Source organism: Homo sapiens, chromosome 13 (genome assembly GCF_000001405.40).
Source record: "Homo sapiens chromosome 13, GRCh38.p14 Primary Assembly".
Lineage (NCBI taxonomy): Eukaryota > Metazoa > Chordata > Mammalia > Primates > Hominidae > Homo > Homo sapiens.
In genome coordinates, this window is record NC_000013.11 from 72526837 (window position 1) to 72548931 (window position 22095).

The 22095-nt window shown below is 39.8% G+C and overlaps 1 long non-coding RNA gene across 1 annotated transcript, besides 1 other annotated feature; it reads right to left on the reverse strand.

The window, feature by feature from the left end:
- Positions 205-919: an enhancer, noted in NCBI's record as "OCT4-NANOG hESC enhancer chr13:73101179-73101893 (GRCh37/hg19 assembly coordinates)". NCBI's record gives its function as "activates a minimal SCP1, AML or CMV promoter by ChIP-STARR-seq in naive H9 embryonic stem cells {active_cell/tissue: H9 hESC(naive)}" and the evidence as "EXISTENCE:reporter gene assay evidence [ECO:0000049][PMID:30033119]".
- LOC124903181 (uncharacterized) lies at positions 14338-17912 on the reverse strand. Its single transcript, XR_007063820.1, has 2 exons — positions 17795-17912; positions 14338-15191 (listed from the first exon to the last, which is right to left on the reverse strand). It is a non-coding gene; the product is annotated as an uncharacterized LOC124903181 (long non-coding RNA).
- Between the last annotated feature and the right edge of the window lie 4183 nt (positions 17913-22095).

The window sequence follows — 22095 nt, forward strand, 5'->3', positions numbered from 1 at the left end:
TACCCTAGAACTTAAAGTATAATAATAAAAAAAAAGAAAAATCTTCCTGTTATCTATTTTCAGGCAATGGGCTTTAACAACAAATCACATTGCATAATTCAACTACTGTGGAAAGAAGTCTGATGGCTCTAATTGAGCTAAGTGTAGAACTTAAAGCAGCTCACTTATCCTATTTGGGTTCAATATATTTATCCCATAAATGACCCATCCCTGCATCAAGGAATGATTTATTTAGAGATACCACATACATTTGAAATATTCCATTTATGCATTACACTAAGCCTTTAGGAGTATTACCCATTGTTGAATAAGTGTTGATCTAACAAAATCTCCTAAGTCACAATTTGTTTAAAATACAGGATAGATCTCGAATACCTATTCTCAGACATCAGGAGACACTGGAAATACAGAACTGAAACTACATCTCACCTAGATGTTAACCCCTTGAGGGCAGGAACTAGACTTGCTTGCCATCAGTCACCTGCAAAGGGCCCTGCATGTAGCGGACACTCTGCTTGTTGAGTGGATGTATAAAAGAACTTCCCCAGAGGTAACCAATTTGATATACAAAGAGAGAGGCTGCTTTCTGCTGTGTTGAACAATGAACACTGGCTGAGACACTTGTCCAAACAAAAAGAGGCTTTGAGTTACGGAATAGCCTCTGTTAACCCATACTAGGATGTTAAGCTCCTTTTGAAAGCAGGTTCCTTTGTAAACAGCCCCCTGAGCCTAGTCCAGAGCTTGGCACATAGCAGTTGTTTGTTAAATTGAATTGAGCTGACTCAGTAAAAGCCATTTAGTGTCAACAAAAATAAATGTATTAATGCATTGCTCCAACCTGTTTTAAAAACTGCTTTCAAATTACACATTATTTTTTAATCAGGTAATACATGCACATGATACAAAATTCAAAATGTATAAATGGGAATATAGTTGTATTAGTCCATTCTCACACTGCTATAAAAATACTACCCAAAGACGGGGTAATTTATAAAGGAAAGTGGTTTAATTGACTCAGTTCAGCATGGTTGGGAAGGCCTCAGGAAACTTACGATTATGGCAGAAGACACAGGGGAAAGCAAACACATCCTTCTTCACAAGGCTGCAGAAAGGCGAATGAATGCAGTGGAAACTACCACGCATTTATAAAACCATCAGATCTCGTGAGAACTCACTCACTAACACAAGAGCAGCATGGGGGAACTGCCCCCATGATTCAATTACCTCCACCCGGTCTCTCCCTTAACACGTGGGGATCATAGGGATTATAATTCAAGATGAGATTTTAGGTGAGGACTCAGCCAAACCGTATCAATAGTGAAGAGGAAGTCTCCAGTACTCTCAATCCCAGGTATCCAGAACTCATGCTAAGAGAAAAAACCTGGAAACACCGTTTTCTAAAGAAAGTGTGTTTTGTCGTTGTTGTTGTTACTGTTGTTGTTTTAAGCAGCATGGAAAACTAACCCTTTTTCTTTCAGCACTTTTATCCTCAACTTTTTCTTAGTCTATTTAGATCTGTAAAATAATTTCTCTTGTAAGACAAATAAAATTCATTATGCAAACAGAAATCTGCAAACAATAAGACAGGCAATAGCAAGTCTAAAAGCCATCCACCTGAGACCAAATGAGCCTACTGTGATTTCTCCTCTAAGATCCACAAGAATCACACTGCTATCAGTATCATTGCGGCTAGCTGTTACCTCTAACAATCATATACCAATTAGCCGTGATATAAATTTGCATTGGAAGTTTTCCATGTTTCCAAGGTTATTTCTCAGAGAAAGCATTCAGATATCAAGGACCTCTCTTAAGCAGTGGTTTAAGGACCTTTTCTTAAGCAGTGGTTTAAAAAAATTGTGAGTGGTTTGCTGCATTTTTCTATTCTAGTAGGTAGAGATAAACAACTCAGACTAAGAATAAAGATTGAGGATTAAGATCAACAACAGACATTTATATTGACAGCATTTCCTGATCCTTCAAATCGGCTGCTCCTGTTTTCTGTTTGTTTGTTTTGCTTTGTTTTATTAGATTACTTGAACTTTTCACCTATATATAGGAGAAAATTTTACTAAAGCACAGAAGAAAATGTATGTTCTTGTCTGCTAAATAAACACAGACATACACACAAAAATAATGCTTTTTGGCCCTATGGGAAAACAGTAGCTTTACTAACACCATTAGTGATTTTACATTGAGTTTTAGTGACTTTAGTAAAATTCTATAGTGTTCCTTATACGTTCAGCAACCTTTAAGATGATTTTTAAGAAGGGAAACAGAAACAGAAAAGGAAGAAGTTAACATTAAAATATTTTGGAGACAATGACAAATGCATCCTATATGAAGATTTATGAAACATTTCATACCATGCCTGCTTGTTCCACACTACCCTGTCGCACTGGCCTCAACCAGAGATGACTATGTTTTAGGAATTAGATGAGCATTAAATTGTCTTTGGATGTATTTGAGGACCTGCGATTTCTCAGGTAACACTTCATGCTAAATTAAATAAGAGAATACTACAAGTAGATCATCTCAGACATTATGAGCTTGCAAATCAATTCCTCAATTCAGGGTGCTGTTTTGTTCTCTGAGCAGTTGGTGTAAAGTGCTACATAATATGAACAATCACCTACTAAAACTTGCATGCACATGCCTAATGCAGATTTTTCCAAAATACGTGATAATGCATACTGTATATTAGAATGTAAGACAGAGCCCTTAACATTCCCCCTGGGATATCTCTCTCTTTTTCTTCTTTCAGACAGCAATGGTCTTTGCTTCAGGTTCTCTAGCTTTAAAATGTTTTATAAATTATTTCAACTTTGAGAAAGCAAATCAGATTAAATCCAGAAAGGAAAAAGGGAGATAGTAGCATTTACACATTTCTGGAAGCTGGCAGCAAGATAAATCCAATGCAACAAACCTCTGTGGGCTATTAAGTGAATTTTGTTAGGAAAGCACACATAAGGCATGCCTAATGAGAATATGTAGGGTGCTGGGTTTTAAGAAACGGGCTATTATTTATGAATACTAGGTGGTATCCAAAAGAAATGCATGTAAGGATTTAAACACTGATTTCTCTAGGGCCTGGACTTTGCTTGAGGCATTACTCAAGTTGGAAAACAAGAGACAACATGGTATATGTGTGAGCCTTCAAATAATCACGCATTTTATACAGGACAATCTACAAGTCTTTAAAGCCTCTGGGCTTTTCATTTTACTAAACAAGGTCCTCCTTTGGGATTGTCAAGGAGAAAATCTGCACCACAGTGGAAAGAGCTCTATCCTGAGAGTCAGAAATTTTGAATGCAAATCCAGCTGCAGGGCCACAGCTTCTTTATCTATAAAATAGGTACGATAATACTCACCCTGACCACTTCACGATGTCCTTGTAAGGGCCAATGTAATCATGCACTGAAAAGAGATTTTGGAGTGTGAGTGCTTTAGACATGTAAAATGTTAGCAGTACTAATATCTGGGAAATCATCATCACCATTTAGGATTTCCTCTATGTCAAAATCACCACATGGCCAGAGTCTGGATGGGCAAGCTCTACTGTCCCAGGGGAAACAGATAATCCAACTTCATGGCTAAGAAGGCCAATGGGGCAGAGCTGCCAGAATCATATTAATATGGAAGGTTTACTTGCTTCCACTAGATTGTGTGCAAATCAGATCCTACTTTGTTGGTCTTCGCAACCCCAGCGTCCAGCAGAGTTAACCCTCCCCCCAAATGACTGTGAATGAAGTGAAATGAGTGAGATGTCTGCTATGAGCAGAGAACTATGTTGGGTATTTTGATAGATATATGAGTCAGAGTTCAAACAGAGAAGCAGAACCCCTAGGAAACACATACATACTAAGGGATTTATACGGGGCTTTGGCTCTGCTTCACTGTGGGAGGATGTTAAACAGAATGCAGAGGCTGTTGCTTCTGTGTTTGGTGCTGAAGCCTGAAGTCAGCAGGACGGGTAGACAGGAAGAAAAGACAGCTGCAAAGAGGGAAACCGGGACAAAATGGAACCCATAAAGATGAGTGGAGTCTGCGAAGGTGGACCAGAAACCGTATCAGTGTCTCACGACCTCCAAGACTCCACCTTTAATGATGAGGGTGTTCTGCGGGTGAAGCTTATCCTTATCCGGTAAATAAACACATGCCTGCCTGGAGGAAAACGAAGCCAAAGAAGGAGATCCAGAGGACCCAAATATGCCCATGGCAACCAGGATGCCAAAAGGTAGGTGACAATGTGTGTGTGAGCTGCAACGCCAGCCCCAAAAAGATGGCTGCAATTTCACTTGTGTCTTCTAAATCTCGTGCAAAATGTCGCTCAAGACCCACAAACCACGAAGAGGAGGGAATTCTGGGAAGTAGGCGGGAAGTGTTTGCTAGTTGCCTGGCACTTTTAATACACTTTGGAATCCTACAACTCTGTAGAACTGTTGTTTTCTCTGTTTCAAAAATGAAATCTCTATAATCCTGCTTAGGTAACCTCCCTGGAGTGCAGAGCACACCCATTTCTGGGTTTGCAGTTCATGCCCTTTTCCTACATTTCCATACCTACAGAGCAGCCGAGCCTTCACACAAGTCCTCAGCTTGGATTAAAGTAAAGAAACTGCTATATATACATATACGTATGATAGAATACTACTCAGACATAAAAAGGAATGAATTAAATGGCATTCACAGCAACCTGGATGGGACTAGAGACTATTATTCCAAGTGAAGTAACTCAGAAATGGAAAACCAAACATCGTATGTTCTCACTCATAAGTGGGAGCTAAACTATAAGGATGCAAAGGCATAAGAATGATAAAATGGTGTCTGTGGACTCGGGGGGAAATGAAAATGGGGGGTGAGGGATAAAAGGCTACCAATCGGGTTCAGTGTATACTACTCAGGTGATGGGTGCACCAAAATCTCACAAATCACCACTAAAGAACTTACTCATGTAACCAAATACCACCTGTTCCCTCAAAAACCTATGGAAAATTTTTAAAAAGTTATTTCTCAGGGCAGTCCTGAGGAAAATTCACAGCATCCAGAAAGAGCTTCTGTCAGTTTCCCCATTCCCAACAGTGACATCGAGACAGAATTGACGACAGATTCTCGTTCATATTGTCCCTGAAGTATTACCAGGGAGGAATGAATTAAGAACCCCAGAGAACGCACCGTTGGAAGAGTGGGAAGAGGTGGAAAAGGCTGATGAAGCCCTCCAAGCCTGCACTCTTAAAGCTGGGTTTTGATGTCTCACCTGAAATGTTCTCAGTACACTCAAGAAACCGGTAATAAGGAGCCACTGTGTGCCTGCATTACCTGGCCATGTCTACACAGCAAGCAGGCTACTGCCCCTTCACGAGGTGAGCGGCAAGGCAGCATTATGTCATACCATCCAGAAGACACGTCTGCTTTACCTGGGGTCTCTCCACCATGCTGCCTTCTGAGAACCAGCTCATTCTCCTTAGCAGTGCAGTCACTCCTGTGAGCGCATTTTACAATTCCTGGGTTCTTCAAAGAACACCTACGTCCATTTCCAGTGGTGATGCCTCTCTCAGGCAAGCTCCTCTGGCATCTCCTTGGGCTAGGAGTTATTTTGGAAAGTCACATTTCATTTCATCACAGAGTAGTTTTGTGGGGTTTTTTTTGTTTGTTTGTTTGTTTTTTTTTTTTTTTTTTTGAGACCGAGTCTCGCTCTGTCGCCCAGGCTGGAGTGCAGTGGTGCGATCTCGGCTCCCTGCAAGCTCCGCCTCCCGGGTTCACGCCATTCTCCTGCCTCAGCCTCCCGAGTAGCTGGGACTACAGGCGCCCGCCACCACGCCTGGCTAATTTTTTGTATTTTTAGTAGAGACGGGGTTTCACCGTGTTAGCCAGGATGGTCTCAATCTCCTGACCTCGTGATCCGCCTGCCTCGGCCTCCCAAAGTGCTGGGATTACAGGCGTGAGCCACCGCGCCTGGCCACCACAGAGTAGTTTTAAAGTTTGATTCTAACAATGAAGACAGAGAAGGCGCTGTGGGAAGAAAAATGCATGAATCTGTGAATTTGAGGTTTATCAATTTTTCAGGAATTTTTTATTTTTAGATATATTTTGTACATTATATGTACAGATAGTATTCTACAAGAGTGTGAGTTTCAAAGTCTTTCACATACTTAAACTCTAAGAAAATTAACTAAAATCTATGTCAATGTTCACATCTCTTTTTGCTATTGTGTGCATGAATTGAGTGAGAAATAGAATCAGTTCTATCTCATTTTTTAATTACCGTGTCTTCCTTCCATCCAAGACTGGCCTTGGGCAAATTGGGAAGTAGAGGAAGTTGAATACTTCAGAGCTCTCCAAATCTGCATCCCGCCACAAGGCATTCTAGAACTCATGAACCAGAAACTTCCGAACCTAAATTTAATTTCTGCAGTGCCCAATCTCTCTGAGTCTCTCTATAACAGCAAAAAATTGGATTAATAATTTGTATATGAGAGCTTAAAGTGACCAGAGCTGATAGCACAACTCCTTTAAACAGAAACTTACAAAGTCTTAACCCAAGTAAGTGACTGATAGAGGGTTTTCAAGATTTTCTGAAGGGCAAATGAGGTACATCTTTCGTTAAAGGGGCCAAGGAAAGTCAGTCACCCAGACAAGAAAGAAATTTTGCATGTTTAATTAGGGAAAAAATGGAAATTATACAGAAAATCATTGTGGTCATAAAGTAAATAAAATGCCTCTCATGGCAAAATGCACTTTTATGTTAGTCTCCATTAGGTAAAACATTATTTCCATGCAGTAATATCTTTATAGAAGGGTAGAAATCACCTTTTCCATCTCTATTCCTATTTCATGTTAGAGTTTTTTCCAAGGTCGTTAAAATGAAAGAATGACAGTAGACTTTCTTATCAACAGCTTGTTCCAACAGATACAATACATGGGTAGGGGATCAAAAAGAGCATGAGAAGCATTTTCTGCCAACATTGTAGAAAATATTGAACATCTGCTGTGTCTGGGATCCTGGGAGTTGTAATTATAATTTTTTGAAATCTGTACACAAGAGTTATAAATATTAGAACTATAGCCTGTGAAAGCCATGAAATATTTAACTTGTTTGGCAGGCTTAAGCAAAACTCATAAACTTAATTTAAGCAAGCCAAACATTATAGTTTTACCCATTTTATATCCTTCATGTCATTAGTTAGATAAATTAAAGCAAGCTATAAAGCAGCATGGAAACTGCCAACTGGAAGTCCTGTGGGTATACCAAAAATGATGCATTTTAAGAACTAACTCGTTTTACTAATGGTTTGCTTTTCACCTTTCCCAGTTATCCACCCATGCCCAAGACTTGACTCTTTGGTTTGGGGAAGCGGAGGGAGGAGCTGCTGGTAGGAAATGGCTTCCGGATAAGTAAAGAGAAATGCAGGCATCAGGCACTTTAAGCAGGTTCACGACGGCCACAGTGAGACCCAAAGGCCACTGGTGATTTCTGCATGTGTCAATTCAATCTGTCAAAAACGTGTATGCCAGCCTGAGTGAAAACCTTTCAAGCTCAAAAACAGAGGCCTGGTAAACAGCTCTGTGCTACTGCAGAAGGTATCTCGAGAGACCAAGGGAGCAGAGAGGAGCCAGGCTTCTACCGTGTTAGCTCTGTGGCCGGGGGACACCTCTGAGACTTGTCCTTAGAAAGGAATACAGGCTGGAATATATCAGGCTGTGTCCATCATACAGATAGGTGCCTTGATATTTAACCCGGGACAGTGATAACCAAGCCAACTTCAGTGTCTATTTCAAAGTTAAGAGTACTATCCAATTAGCCTCAAATTTCTCCGTTTATACCTGCACCATGCTCTCTACCCTACTCCCAACCCCAGGGTGCTCCCCAGTGAGAAACTAAGGATAACAACATTCACATTTGTAGATTCTGCATGAGAAAAATAATAGATGATGATACTATTTATTTTATAGTACTTTATTTATATATCTTTTTGCAATTGAACCTCAAAGCAACCCCTTTTATATCCATGTGTGTGACTTTTGCAGATTAAAAAAGTAATCACAGAAAAGTGACAAAGTATGCCCATGACCACACAGCTGACAATACTGAGCCTGGCCCTGAGGTCTCCTGAGACTTGGACCAATGCTTTGGCCACAAGGGAGGCAGTCAATTCACAGAACATCTGCTCTGACAGGAGACTGAAGAAGGAATGAGCTAAGGGACTCCAAGTCCAGAGTAAGCCTGTGGACGGATGGTGCTTCCAGGACTCACAGCTTCCCTTCCCTCTGGCCCTTCTTTATGCCCTGGTGTTTTTCAGATTCAGTATCTCTATTAAAACTTCCTACTCCTCTTTCCTGGCCTTGTCTCCCTCTCTTAACCCCTACAAAGGACTGAAACTGGCTGTCAGCTCTGGGGCTTGCCACAGTCATAGCAGCCTTTGTTAACAAGTTAAGAATCTACAGGAATCCCCTCTTTGCTGTCTTTACAATCTGTACATGAGAGCAATCAAATGGATCAGCTGGAAACCCCTAGCTGTGAATGCATAAAAGAGCAAATGAATAGGAAAATTCAAAGGAAATATTTCACTGAAATACCCTGCTGGTCCCGCTTTATTCTGCATTTAAGAAAATAATACCCATGCCCAAACAGCCTCTTTCTCCCTGAAGTAGAGGGTTGATATCACACAGACTGTCTACACAGGGGAACCAATTCAAGGCAGAACTGAAAGTTCCAATTCAATCCAATCAGCCCATGTCATATGTCTGGGGCCAGTCCAACAGGGCTTAGAATGTGATTTGAAAGAGCCAGTGTGAGTTGTCAGTGGCCCACACAAGCAGGAATTTATGCCTCAGGTTTACCTGGATGGAGAGTGAGTATGAAGGTTTTTGTGTCAGCCTCCTGTGTGCCAGGCATATATGTTTCTAAATTCACTTTGCAACAAACTTATGAGATAGACTTTGGTAGTAGTATTCCCTTTTAAACAGACATTCACTCGTTTCTTTAAGATGAAAAAAACAGTAAGTGGAAAATATAAATACTTTGTGCGAATCTACAGCAAACATAAATTTTAGGGTGAATCTGCCTTTTTTTTTTTTTTTGAGATGGAGCCTTGCTCTGTCACCCAGGCTGGAGTGCAGTGGCATAATATCGACTCACAGCAACCTCCACTTCCCAGGTTCAAGTGATTCTCCTGCCTCAGCCTCCTGAGTAGCTGGGATTACAGGCATGCATCACCACTCCCTGCTTATTTTTGTATTTTTAGTAGAGATGGGGTTTCCCCATGTTGGCCAGGCTGGTCTCAAACTCCTGACCTCAGGTGATCTGCCCGCCTCAGCCCCCCAAAGTGCTGGAATTACAGGTGTGAGCCACCGCGCCCGGCCTGAATCTATCTTTAACTCATTTTTGAGCATGGTGATTTTCTAGGCCTCCCTTAATCTGGACACAGAGCTGCGAAGAAGAATAAGCTAATGAGACTGTCTAGTTCTTCCCGTATTCCTGGGGCAGCTAGGAAGATGCTAACAGCAACCCCAGTTCTAGTTCTAAGGGAATGCCCTTGTAGGGGTAATGTGGGCCTGAGTTCCCTCTCCAGTTCCCCACTCCAGTCCTCAGAAAGGCCCACGTACCATGGAGTGCATGGTCCCCACTCTAGCAACCGAGTGACAGGGAGCATGATAAGCCCAGAAGAGCAACAGCCCGTATCCTTCATTTTCTTTCTCATGAATAAAGCTGAAGAAGAACCAGAATCAAAGCTCAAAAATTGCTATAACATTAAAAGACACAAATGATGCGGTTTGACATTATTTTTATTTCACAAAGAAAACTTTGGCATTTCCAAACATTGGAAATGCCAAAGTGTTCAACTCAGTGCCCACTCCTAGTTGAAACTTCATGTCAGCTGCCTGGTACTGAGTCTTCTCGCCCACAGGAGGGCATCGCCTCTGGTTAGACTGACAGGTAAAAGGTCTTGAGGGTCAGAGCCATTGGCAAGTTCCAGGAACAAACAGAACAGGAGTTTTTAACAAGACCTGCAGCTTGTGAGCGGGGAGGCTCCTGGGCGCTAACACTTCGCCACTTTCATTCTCTGGCTGCACACAGGCTGTGCAGACTCAGGGAATCTTTCCAGGGCAGCCGTATGAGAGGGAAAGCTGTTACCCCTCCAAGATTTCATAGTGACAGGAGGCAACTCCACTAGGATTCCTGATCAAGCCACCAGGTCTGGTGGGAACTGCTTTTTCCACTAAGATTTCTGGGCTTGTTTACATGCGTTTTATTCAGAGCTACAGTAATCTGTTCACAAGAGACAGAAATCCTGGTAAATCAATCCTTAAAGCTTGTTGACATTTGTCCACTTGGCAGATCATAAAAGCCCCTTGAAAATCACAGGAGTAAATGTGTAAACCGCTTTACCAAATTATATGATGTAAACGCCAAGTGAAAGAGTTCTGCAGGATAAGATCGCTGAATTGTGACTGTCTTCCGAATGTAACTTTATTTTGGTCTTGGGTTACATGTGAGGTGTTGCCAAAATCAACTGAAAGAGAGACAAAGACATATGAATTCAGCCCAAAAGCTGGCTTTTAAGTTCTCTGTCTTCAAAAAGACTGGAGATTCTTTATGAGATGTAGTTTTGCATAAACAGTCTTTGTTAACAAAAGTTTTCCCCAAATATCAGTTAAATTTTAACTAGTTCCCTGTAAATGTTATGTGAGTGCCAGAAATAACCTCGGCATTTTTGAAGAAAAAAGTAGAACTAGAGAAAACTTCGTGGCATAAACACACAGATAAAATACACACTGCAGTCATTGGTGGCAATCAGACCATAGGGGCCTGAGAGTTCATGATTACTGGAAACTCTTTCCCAAGATTATATCCAGAGAGATTTCTCAGAAGACTTGAAGAGGAATGTCATAGAATAATCATGCATGAAAGCAGTTACAAGTGCTCAGTCTTTGTAACAGCACAGGTAAATCTGCACCTGAAGCTGTTATGTCTGAATTGAGGTTTATTCCAGCCTCTTTGAGAAATCAGGTCCAAAGTTTAAAAGCCCTTTTTACATATCATAATCATCTCTATAGATTCCATTTTAAACCTTTTACCTCCATGGCCTAACAATTGCTTATATCTGAATCTTCCACAGAGACGACATATTAGTTTCCCTACATCTCTCTAATTTTACGCAATGTACTGAATATTTCACTGGAAGTGAGAAGTGAGACCCAAAGAGGAAAGCAGGGGAAAGGTGGTAGGGGAAGGAGAGGGAGGAAAAATGGAAATACATTTTACAGTGTATAGCTAGGTAAGGAATTCTGTTAATATTGATGTATAACAGTAAAGCTAATGGTGAGGAATAGCTCCAGGTCTCCAGGTGATCAAAAGCCCTTCATATGTGGAAAGCTCTTGTGGACTGGAATGTGAGATCTTCCGATGGCAGGAGCCTGGGCGGGGCTTCTGACGATCCCCTCTTTACTGGGGTGAGGGTTATAAACGTTCTTAGGCAGTACATTTAGACATCCTGGAGGAGATACTAAGGGTTCATAAGACCTGAGGCTCTGTTCTCCTACAATTTATGGACTGCAGGAACATGTCTCAACACCACAGAATCTTACACTGATGAGGGACCTTATGGGGGAAGCAGTTCAATATCCTATTGAATACATACATCCCCTTCCCAGCATCTTCACTCAAGCCCCATTCAGCCCATATTGTGGAGGTGGGGAACGCCCTTTGCCCAAAGCAGTCCTTTTTGTCTTGGATGGCTCGAACTCTCCTAAATCTATTTTTTTCTGAAATAATCATTGTATTTTCTACTTAATGGACTTCGTTCTATTTCCTCAAGAAATTGAAGAACAAATGCAATTCCTCTCCTTGCTAAAATGTAAAGCAGCTGACAGGGCTCTGTAACCAGCCGTCATGTATTACTTTGGTAGGTTTTTCTTTGTCATTCTTCTCCATGAAGGAGAAGAGGGAACGGTATGCATGTAGGGGACAGAAGGGGACAGTATGCATGTGGGGGACATGTATGCATGTATGCACATAAGGGACATGTCGGGGACATGCATGCAGGGGGCATGTAGGCATTATGGGACATGTATGCATTAAAGAAGAGGGGACAGTATGCATGTAGGGGACAGAAAGAGGAGACAAAATACATGTAGCTGCCTTTACCTAGGCACCTTGGTTTGGGGACTCTGTGTCATGTCTCAGCAGTACCAAATCCCCATGGGTCTTTATGGAGAAGAACCCTTTGCAGGTTTCTAACATGTCAATTGTGCTACCTCTACTGACAGAAGAGATTTTTAATTTAGTCCAAATGATATGTTCCCTTACCCTCCATTCACTCCCCATGTTTGCAGGGTGCCAAATATGTGCCAGTTCAGTTATATGCTGAGTTCAGGAAAGTTTATGGTGATTAAGACACAACCCTTGTCTTCAAGGAGCTGACTGTCTAGAGCAAAATCTAGATGAGTTAACAGGCAGGTCTAGTACATCATAGGACCATAAGAGCTCATGGATAAGGCTCCAGTTCAGTCATGAGTAGTCCTAGAAGAACGGTTGTCTGAGAGGAGAACTAAGCAGCAGGCAAGCAAAAGGAGCAGTAGTAGAATGCCTCCCAAGGAAAGAGCCAAGCTTTGATAAAAGGCCAGAGACAGCAGAGAGTGTGATATATCACACATACTGTGTAGACAATAAGGTGGGTAGGAACAAGTGTTTACCAATATTATACAAATACATCTCTGCCTATAAGACATGTGTGTGGTGTTGTAGTCTACCCACAAGATTTTATGTATTAAATTGTGTGCTCTGTTTAAGTTATACTTGAATATTAAGGACTAAAATAAAATTCACTCATTCAGAGATCTGATCACTAAGATACAAAGAAGAATAAAGTGTTCTTGACTGTGAAACTCACAGTCCAGTGGAAACAATTTTTTTAAACTTGCATGTTGTCAGAAGCTGGTTATCTAGGTTTGTGAGATAGTTCTAAATGGTTTTGAGTAATTGGGTCAAGTAGATAGTCTTCTGAGACAGAAACCCAAAACAGAAGTCTCCAATAGAGGTCTGCTATGTTTTCTCTCCTCTTAATCAAAAATAGTAATTCCTATCCTTTAATGATAATTAAAAATCAAAATTCATTTTGATCAGTGATTAGCTCAATGACCATTTCTTATATTGGCCTTTCAGTCTCTACAGAGCTAAAAAAGATAAGGAGTTGAACTGGGTTGTGGGGGAGGCTGATGTGCATAGAGTGCAGAAATGGCAAGGAATAGGCTGTAAGAAGCTCTGTGAGAAAATTCTGAAAAGGAAGGAAGCCATCATTGGCAGTTAAGTGTTTACTAAGAAGGAAGGGCTAGTAATAAGGAAGTAAATTTGATTAAAGAAAATTATTCTGAATTCTACTTAAACTTCCGCCTGCTCCAATTCAAGGAATGTTTTCCTGAGATCCTCTTAATTCAAACCAAGGTTTCTCACCTTGGCACTATTGACATTTTGGGCTGGATAATTCTTTGTTTTGCAGGGTGGGAGAGGGAGCTGTCCTCTGCATTATAGGATATGTAACATCCATGGCCTCTAGCCACTAGATTCAAGTAGTACTCAAACGCATACATCAGTTTCAACAAACAAAAATGCTTCAAACGTAGCAGGATGTCCCAAGGGGGAGAAAATTAACCCACTTTGAGAATCAGTGATTTTAACTAACAGGGATAAGGAGCCAGAGCACAGTCAAAGAATTTAATGAGCTACTGAAGAGGATCCTTATTGCAAAAATTATTGTAATTCTACTATGGTAAATTACAAATGTTTTCTAAAAATTTTAACATGAATAATCTAGAGTCTGTTTGACACATACATGCGCACACACACATACGTGGATTTTTTCCTACCCATCTTTTTATTGCGTTAGTGCTAAAAAATAAGTTGTGCACTCTGTAATATAAGAATTAAATGGATTTCCAAATCAGCTTCCCGGGGCTTCAGAATAATTTCATGTTACCATATTAGTGCAGAAAAAAAAATGTATCTCATCAAAACTATTCCAGAAGCACCTCATTTTGATAGGAAAGTACTTTGTGATGATTACCTAATAGGCAGCATTTGTTGAAATGCTTTTAATAGACCTTTTTTATCACATGCAAAAGAATTTCAATGCTAGTTCAGTCTCCTGTTTCATTCTGTCATGAATCAATTTGTAGAGACATTTAGAAGTCAATAATCCGCTGCAGCTTTGATGACAGGTGATTAATTTCTACATTTTAGAGACGTAATAAGATTTAGCAATAAAAAGGCCTTGAAGTAACCTACCGAACAGCTTTAATCTCAGTCTTGGGACTGTTGCTAACATGAACGCTTGTACACAAATGTGAATGATTTAAGTTAGTAGGTTTTATTGCAGACTCCTTGTGTCTTCCTATTAATCTTGCTTTACAATCAGGCTATCCATGCAATCAATTTATGTTGGATATTTTTTCCCAACACAATGCTTGAAGGGAGGAGGGGGCTAACAAATTATTTACACGCAAAGAGTTTGTTCTACAAAAGAAGTCATTTTACGTGCTTATTGCTGAGGGGACGACTGATTTTACTGGTGTGGCAAGGAAAAAGAAAAAAGAAGTGAAGGTGGCCATCAAAAGATTCTGACGGATAAGTTCAAGGAATGGATGGTGATGAATGCTGAACCACAGCTAACACTTCCTTCCAAATAATCAGCTGCTCTCCCGTTCATAATGTCTTTCTTTTCATCCTTCTTATTCTGAAAATTGACAGAGGCCTCAAAGTAGTTTCTAATTCTTATCAAACGATTTCTATGAATGTAAGAGCTCATAAAAAGAGTGAGGTTAATCTAACCTGAAAAGAAGGGTTTCTCTTCTACTGCCACTGGGTAAACACCCCAATGTGGAAGGTTTTTTTTAAATAAATATATAAATCAAGGCAGATGAATTCAGTGTTCACATAATTCATCACTCCTGACCAACAAATGGAATGTTCTTAGGAAACACTAAGTATTCCTAAGGCACATGTTCCGGGTTCAGCTGACTTGTGCCTGTGCTTGTTAAATCTTGGGAGCTTGAGGTTTTGCTTTGTTCTGACATGTTTTTGATGTCAGCGGAGGATCATTGCTGAAAGTCTTCGTGGAAGTCATTTTTTCTTTCAGAAGAAAATGACGAAAGAAGAGATGGCTGCTTGACACACGTACAAAAACAAAGACAGCGTGCTTCTGGGGAAGATCCAAGAACAGGACATGGAGACAAAAATGAAAGACTTTTCAGGAGACCACCCAACAGAACAGAAACCAGACTCACCTCCCAGTGCTGTGCCCTCTCTTTCCCCAATCACCATGATCACGATTTTACTTTTCTCATTATTCTCCTTTTTTAAAGATTAGACATCTGTTATTATCCGTCATTATTTTCTCTTTTTTTAATTTAAATTTGGCATGCCTCCTATTAAAGTGTTTCTTAAAACAGTTCCTTCTTCCTTATTCCCTGAGTTAGGGCACCAAGCTAGGTATCTAACTAGGGAACCTTCACAGCTCGCCAAGTGGGCTTTGCTGCCTCCAGCCTTACCCTGACCACCCCCCATCTACCCTCAATGCTGCTGCCAGACTAACCTTCCCACAGGACTCCATGCTTGTCTGTTTGCCTTTTGTGTGTGTTCACACATTCCAGGAGCAAATCTGAGCAATTAACACATGCTGGGCACTGTGGTAGGAACTGGGAGTTTGAAGATGAAGACATGGTGTCTTAATTTAAATAGCTCGAAATCTATCCAGAGAGACAGACACATAAATAACTACCAGCGTGGTAAGTGCTATAAGAGTTCTGTGGGTATGTATTCACAAAAAGCAGTAGGTATCCAGCTGAAGCTGTTATTAATACCTCCTAAGAAGAAGACATCAGCCTGAAACCTGCCAAATTTTACCAGGAGGAGAGGGACTACCCAGACAGAGCAAGCAATTCAGTAAATACACGGAGTCATTCTTAAAATAGACAGATAGAAGATAGATGATAGATGATGATAGATAGATAGAGAGATGATAGATGATGATAGATAGATAGAGAGATGATAGATGGATGGATAGATAGATAGATAGATAGATAGATAGATAGATAGATAGATAGATGATAGATAGAGATAGATATAGAATATCTTATTGGTTTATTCCCTCTCTCTGTCTTCCTCTCTCATCCCATTTTATTCCTTATCTCTTGCAAATTTAGTGAAACACTACTCTCTCTGTTTGCTGCTTTCCCACTTACTCTCCAGTTACCACTTCACTGACACTGTTTCTCCACTTAGAAAGTAGGTAATCTCCTAGATGTCAAATCAAAAGTATCCTTTTCCATTCTTATCTTACTGAACTACTTTTGCATTTAAAACTTTGTGTGTGTGTGTGTGTGTGTGTGTGTGTGCCCTCATTTTTAAAACTCTACTTTCTTGGCTTTGACACACACTCAAGTTTTCTTATACACCTTCTTCTACCTCTGAGGCTCCTTTGTGGGCCTCTGCTTTTTTATCTACCTTTAAAAGTTGAGTTTATGAAGGATCTATTCTCATTGTATACACCTTCCTCCGGGGAGGGCAGAAATCATTCTTATGGTGATAAACAGTAGTCATCACCATTCTCCATCAGTCTCCAACCCAGGCCTCCCTCCTGAAGTAAGAATCATTTTATCCAACCACCTGGAGAATAGCTCATGATGTTGTATCTAACTATCTATAGAACATCTGTCAATGGGCCGCAACGTATTGTTTCTAAAGGGAAGGGAGGAAAGACAAAAATAAAAAATAGCTATAGGCATGTTTCATCTAGACTAATCAGATCCATTAGGCAGAAACTTGGTCTGTAAAGCAAGGAACACACTCAGAAGTTACACAGATGTTCCAATTAGATACACTGGTATATATATCTAACTATATATAGTGTGTGTCTATGTAATCTAGTCATAAATAATAATTTTATTTATTAGAGTATAGGATTAAACATGTCTGGAGCCCACTAAAATGAAACACAGTTTCTATAAAGACAAGGCTGTGGGTTCAGTTGGGGTGGGGGGAGTTGTTTTACTCTTTAAATGACAAGATCTTCTATTACTATGTTTTTTACTGCTCAAGAATCAAAAGATCCAAATTCATATCCTAAATTTGACTGTTATTCTTTCTACATAAAACTTTATTTTTTATTTCAGGATGTCCTCCGAGTTGCAGAAACTAAGTTGTAGATATATCACAAAAATTGACAATCCCATGAGTATTTGATCCCAACACAAAATATTCAGGATAACGCTTCACTTTCTCTCACTGGTCTTTCAACACTTCTTCTTGGCAAAAAAAAAAAAAAAAAAAAAAATTGCTTTAAAGATACACAGACGAACACACACACACATACACACAATTGATGATTATTATCACATCAATTTTAGAGGAAACAGAGGAACAGAGAAAATAAGTAATTTGCTCAAAGCTTGTCTGGATTCAGGTCAGTCCACCAGATGTCTCAGCTTTTACATAATTAAGAGAGAGAAAGAAAACAGAAGCTATAAACATGAGAATCTACATACACTAAATTTATTCTTCCTTGAGGTCCATCCTAAAATTACCTCTCCACTGCCCTCCACCCCTGACCTCAGCTCTAGGGGAAGATTTCTTCATTATTTCCCTACATTCAGTGTTCATTCCTAACCCCCAGTCCTTTGATCAATGTATTTCTACCACCCTCGAATGCCTTTTACCTTCTCTTCCCTGTCCAAATCCTTTCCTTCCTTCAAGCCTAACTATATCCTTGACTAGAAACTTCTTTGGCAATATGATAAATCTTACCATTTTTAGTTCTTTGTTCTTGAGTTATTTTCATGTATTCGATTCTTCCCCAGTACAGTGCAATTATCATGAAGACAAACAGCCATCTTATGTGTCTCTTCTTCTCCGTGACTTCATGGCTAGCTATATAATACATTATCAAAAAATACTTGTTTGAATGGATAACTAGATGGAGGACAGTAAGGAGTAGTAAAATAAATAAATAGAAATGGTAAGAAATAAAGAATCTTATATAAGTAAATATTGAACTTATGGGTTAAAGTATTTCAAAAGCTCATCACACACAGATAGAAATAGGCCTCTTCTAATAGTTTCAAAAGCTTCATAAAATAGTTTTTTTCCAATTATCCCAGCCTCCATGAAGTTGATGTAAATAAAGAAGAGAAGCTAACATTGATAGAGCACGTACTGTGTGCAAGGCCTCCATTGTGTACTTTGAAATACAATATCTCAGTCACACTGTACAACAGTCCTGCAAAGCATTATTACCCCACTTCTACAAGTGATAGAACTAACGTTCAGAGAGGGCAGTTAACATCCCCAAGATTAGACAGCCATCAAGTAGAGGAGCTGTACTTTGAACTCAGGTCCAAATGAATCCCCAGCCTATCTTTTTCTGTTAGTCTTTCTTTATACACTGTAAGGTAATGTTTGCATCCCTGGCTGTTCTGTAAAGCTAAATCAACACTAGCAATGCATTTCTAAATGTATGTGAAGAGCAGAAGGACCACATGGTTCTTGTACTTCCTCTGCTGGGTTAACCATTAACAATCAGCATCAACATCCATTCCAGTCTCTACAAATACCCAGAATCTCTGCACTCTGCACCTATCATTATATATGCCAAGGTCCCACTCTGGAAGGTAAACTTGCCAAAAACACATATATAATCCAGAGGTTACCCCTGCAGAGACACATTCTCCAATACTCAATATGCAAACATAAGAAAATAGACTTTTTCTGAAGTTGTTTTAATGAAGAGGGAGCGTTAGAAACCATGCTGAGGCAGCTTCCTGAAAAATCTTGGAAAGGGCCTCAGTCCTGTGAGCCACGGTTTCCTCAGCTGTGAAATGGGTATAATAACTAAAGGTCAATCAAAATAATTTTTAAAAGGCACCTGGAAAATAGTAGGTATTTAATAAATATTGTTTTACATACTCATTGACAGAAATATTCTTGATAGACATAATAAGAGTGCATAAAGAAGAAAACCAACACAAATTATTTGGTTGGTGTAAAAGAAATTGTGGTTTGGGCAGTACTGTCAATGGCAAAATTGCATTTACTTTTGAACCAACTATTTTAGACCATTCTCACACTGCTAAGAAAGACATACCCAAGGCTGGGTAATTTATAAAGGAAAGAGGTTTAATTGACTCACAGTTTAGCATAGCTGGGGAGGCCTCAGGAAACTTATAATCATGGTATAAGGGGAAGCAAACACTTCCTTCTTCACATGGTGGCAGAAAGGAGAAGTGCAGGGGAACTGCCCTTTATAAAACCATCAGATCTCATGAGACCTATTCACTATCAGGGGAAGAGCAAGGAAAAAACATGCCCCTATGATTCAATTACCTCCCACTGGGTTCCTCCCATGACACGTGGGGATTATGGGAGCTACAATTTAAGATGAGATTTGGGTGGGGACACAGGCAAACCATATCACCGACCTAATAGAATACAGACAAAATTTGACTAAGGTATAACTTTGACTGTTACTATAACAGATGAAAGGGCTGGGCATGGTGGCTCACACCTGTAATCTCAGCTACTCAGGATGATGAGGTGGGAGTATGTCTCAAGCCCAGGAGTTTGAGGCTGTAATGAGCTATGATCATGCCACTGCACTCCAGCCTGTGCCACAAAACAAGGCTCCTTCTCAAAAAAAAAAAAAAAAGAGAGAGAGATGAAAAAATCAGAACACGTATAAATATGATAGAATTATAGATTATCAAGAACTGTAAAGACAGAAAATTCTTAATTTGATGGGTATTGAAAGAATAAATTACTCGTTCCAACTTCTTACTTTTATTCTTCAATTATGTGCTGTCATAAATGTATCATGTACAGATGCAACATAGATAAGAGGCAAGGAAAATTATTTTAAAACATAACTAGCCTTATTGTCCACTCTTCCAATTTTTCCTGATTTTAGGTGCCAAAAACATATAACAAAGATGAAAACGCCACTAAGACAAAAGGATAATTGTTTGCTGTGTTAACTTCAAAGAGCTATTGCAGCACAGCAACATCTGTAATAAAACGACGGATGCCTGTTTTTTCACCAATGTCAAATCATCATAAAATACTGAGGAGATGGGAGGAATCAAATCTTGCAGTCCTTGAAATCTGATATGAAGTCTATAACCAACCCTGTGCAAGATGGGTAGCTTTTACAAGAGGACAAACACATTGTAAGGGAATGAATCAAAGCAAAGGATTAGATAATTGAAGAGGTGACAGCACATCAGATTGCAGGTGGCAGAGTGAGGTATGGAACAGGAGTTGCCTGCCCAGTAACACACAAGAAGAGTTACGACATTTATGCATTTTCATTTCTACAGGTGGGAACCTCAAATCATTCCATGGGCTAGCCTCTGAGTACCTCTAATCCAAGCCTGCCAAGGATCAGTTGATATACTCCTGTATCGTCAGAGATGGACCCAACATATTTCCAACAATATTTCTTTGGTCCTAACAAGACACATTTTAAGTCTAAATAACCTGTAAATTCAAACCTTATTTTCTATGGTTAAGATATATGCCCTTGCAGGCTCTATTATACACAGTCATAGATCCAGGAAACATTATTTGACCACCTACTCTGTGCCAGGCTGTGTAAGACAGTTCTTCTATGATTTCCCATTCAATCCTAACAGGCATGCTCTGCTGTGCATGCTGTTGTCTTTTTTAGTAGATGAAGAACTAAGAATCAAAAACATTAAGAGACTTACCCAAGATGATATACTTTAGAATGCTTTTCCCCACTAAAATAGCAAGTTTGATTGCCACTGCAGCATCAAAATACAGCAGGGCTAGAATATGCTTACATTGCACATGAGCTGAGAGCCCTAGAGCATGTGCCTTCTCTCTCCTCCCATGCCTCTGAATAAGGATCTCAAATGCTGGAAGTTCTCAGTCAACCCTGGCAGCTTTTGGTAACATTTTTCCCATGTTATTTCAGACAATGGATTTGTCCTTTTTAAAGACAAAATAGAATTTACTTTCCAACTTTATATTTTGCTATATTTTACAATATTTCAAGTTTTTCTTGTTCATTAGCAAATGAAATAACAGCATATGGCTAAAAGGCCTAAGGATAAGACTTCACCCCAAAGAAAGACAGCTAATCCTCAAAAAAAAAAAAAAGAATATTATCCCCTACTAACAGATCTCTATTCCAATTTTAAGTTATCTCCTTGACCTTAAAGATAATACTCTGTGGGAGTGAGAAACCTAAGACCACCGCTCTTCATAGCCAGTTGAGTTATGAATTTAAAATTTCCCACAAAATAGCAATAAATCCAGATCCAAAGACAGTTTAAGAAAGCTACAGAAAATGTTACTCTCTCATCCCAAAAGCTTTTCAGTCCTTAAAGAATTTAATTGTTTAAAATCTAAGGTCTTCATATAATCCAGCAATCCCACTACTGGATATATATCTACTCAAAGGAAAAGAAATTCATATATCAAAAAGATACCTGCACCCATATGTTTATTGCAGCACTATTCGCAATAGCAAAGATATGGAATCAACCTAAGTGTCCATCAAGAGATGATTGGATAAAGAAAATGTGTCATATATACACAATAGAATATTATTCAGCCATGAAAAACGAGTGAAATCATGTCTTTTGCAGCAACATGGATAGAACTGGTGGCCATTGCCTTAAGTGAAACCACTCAGAAACAGAAAGTCGAATACTGCATGTTCTCACTTGTAAGTGGGAGCTAAACAATGTGTACACATGGGCATAGAGTGTGGAATGATAGATATTGGAGACTTGAAAGGGTGGAAGCATGGGTTGGGTGTGAGAGATGAGAAATTATTTAATTGGTGCAATGAATTTTTTTTTTTTAGACGGTCTCACTCTGTCACCCAGGCTGGAGTGTAGTGGCACAAATCTCAGCTCACTGCAACCTCCACCTCCCGGGTTGAAGAGATTCTCCTGCCTCAGCCTCCCAAGTAGCTGGGATTACAGGCATGCACCACCATACCCAGCTAATTTTTGTATTTTTAGTGGAGATGGCGTTTCACCATCTGGGCCAGGCTGGTCTCGAACTCCTGATCTCAAGTGACC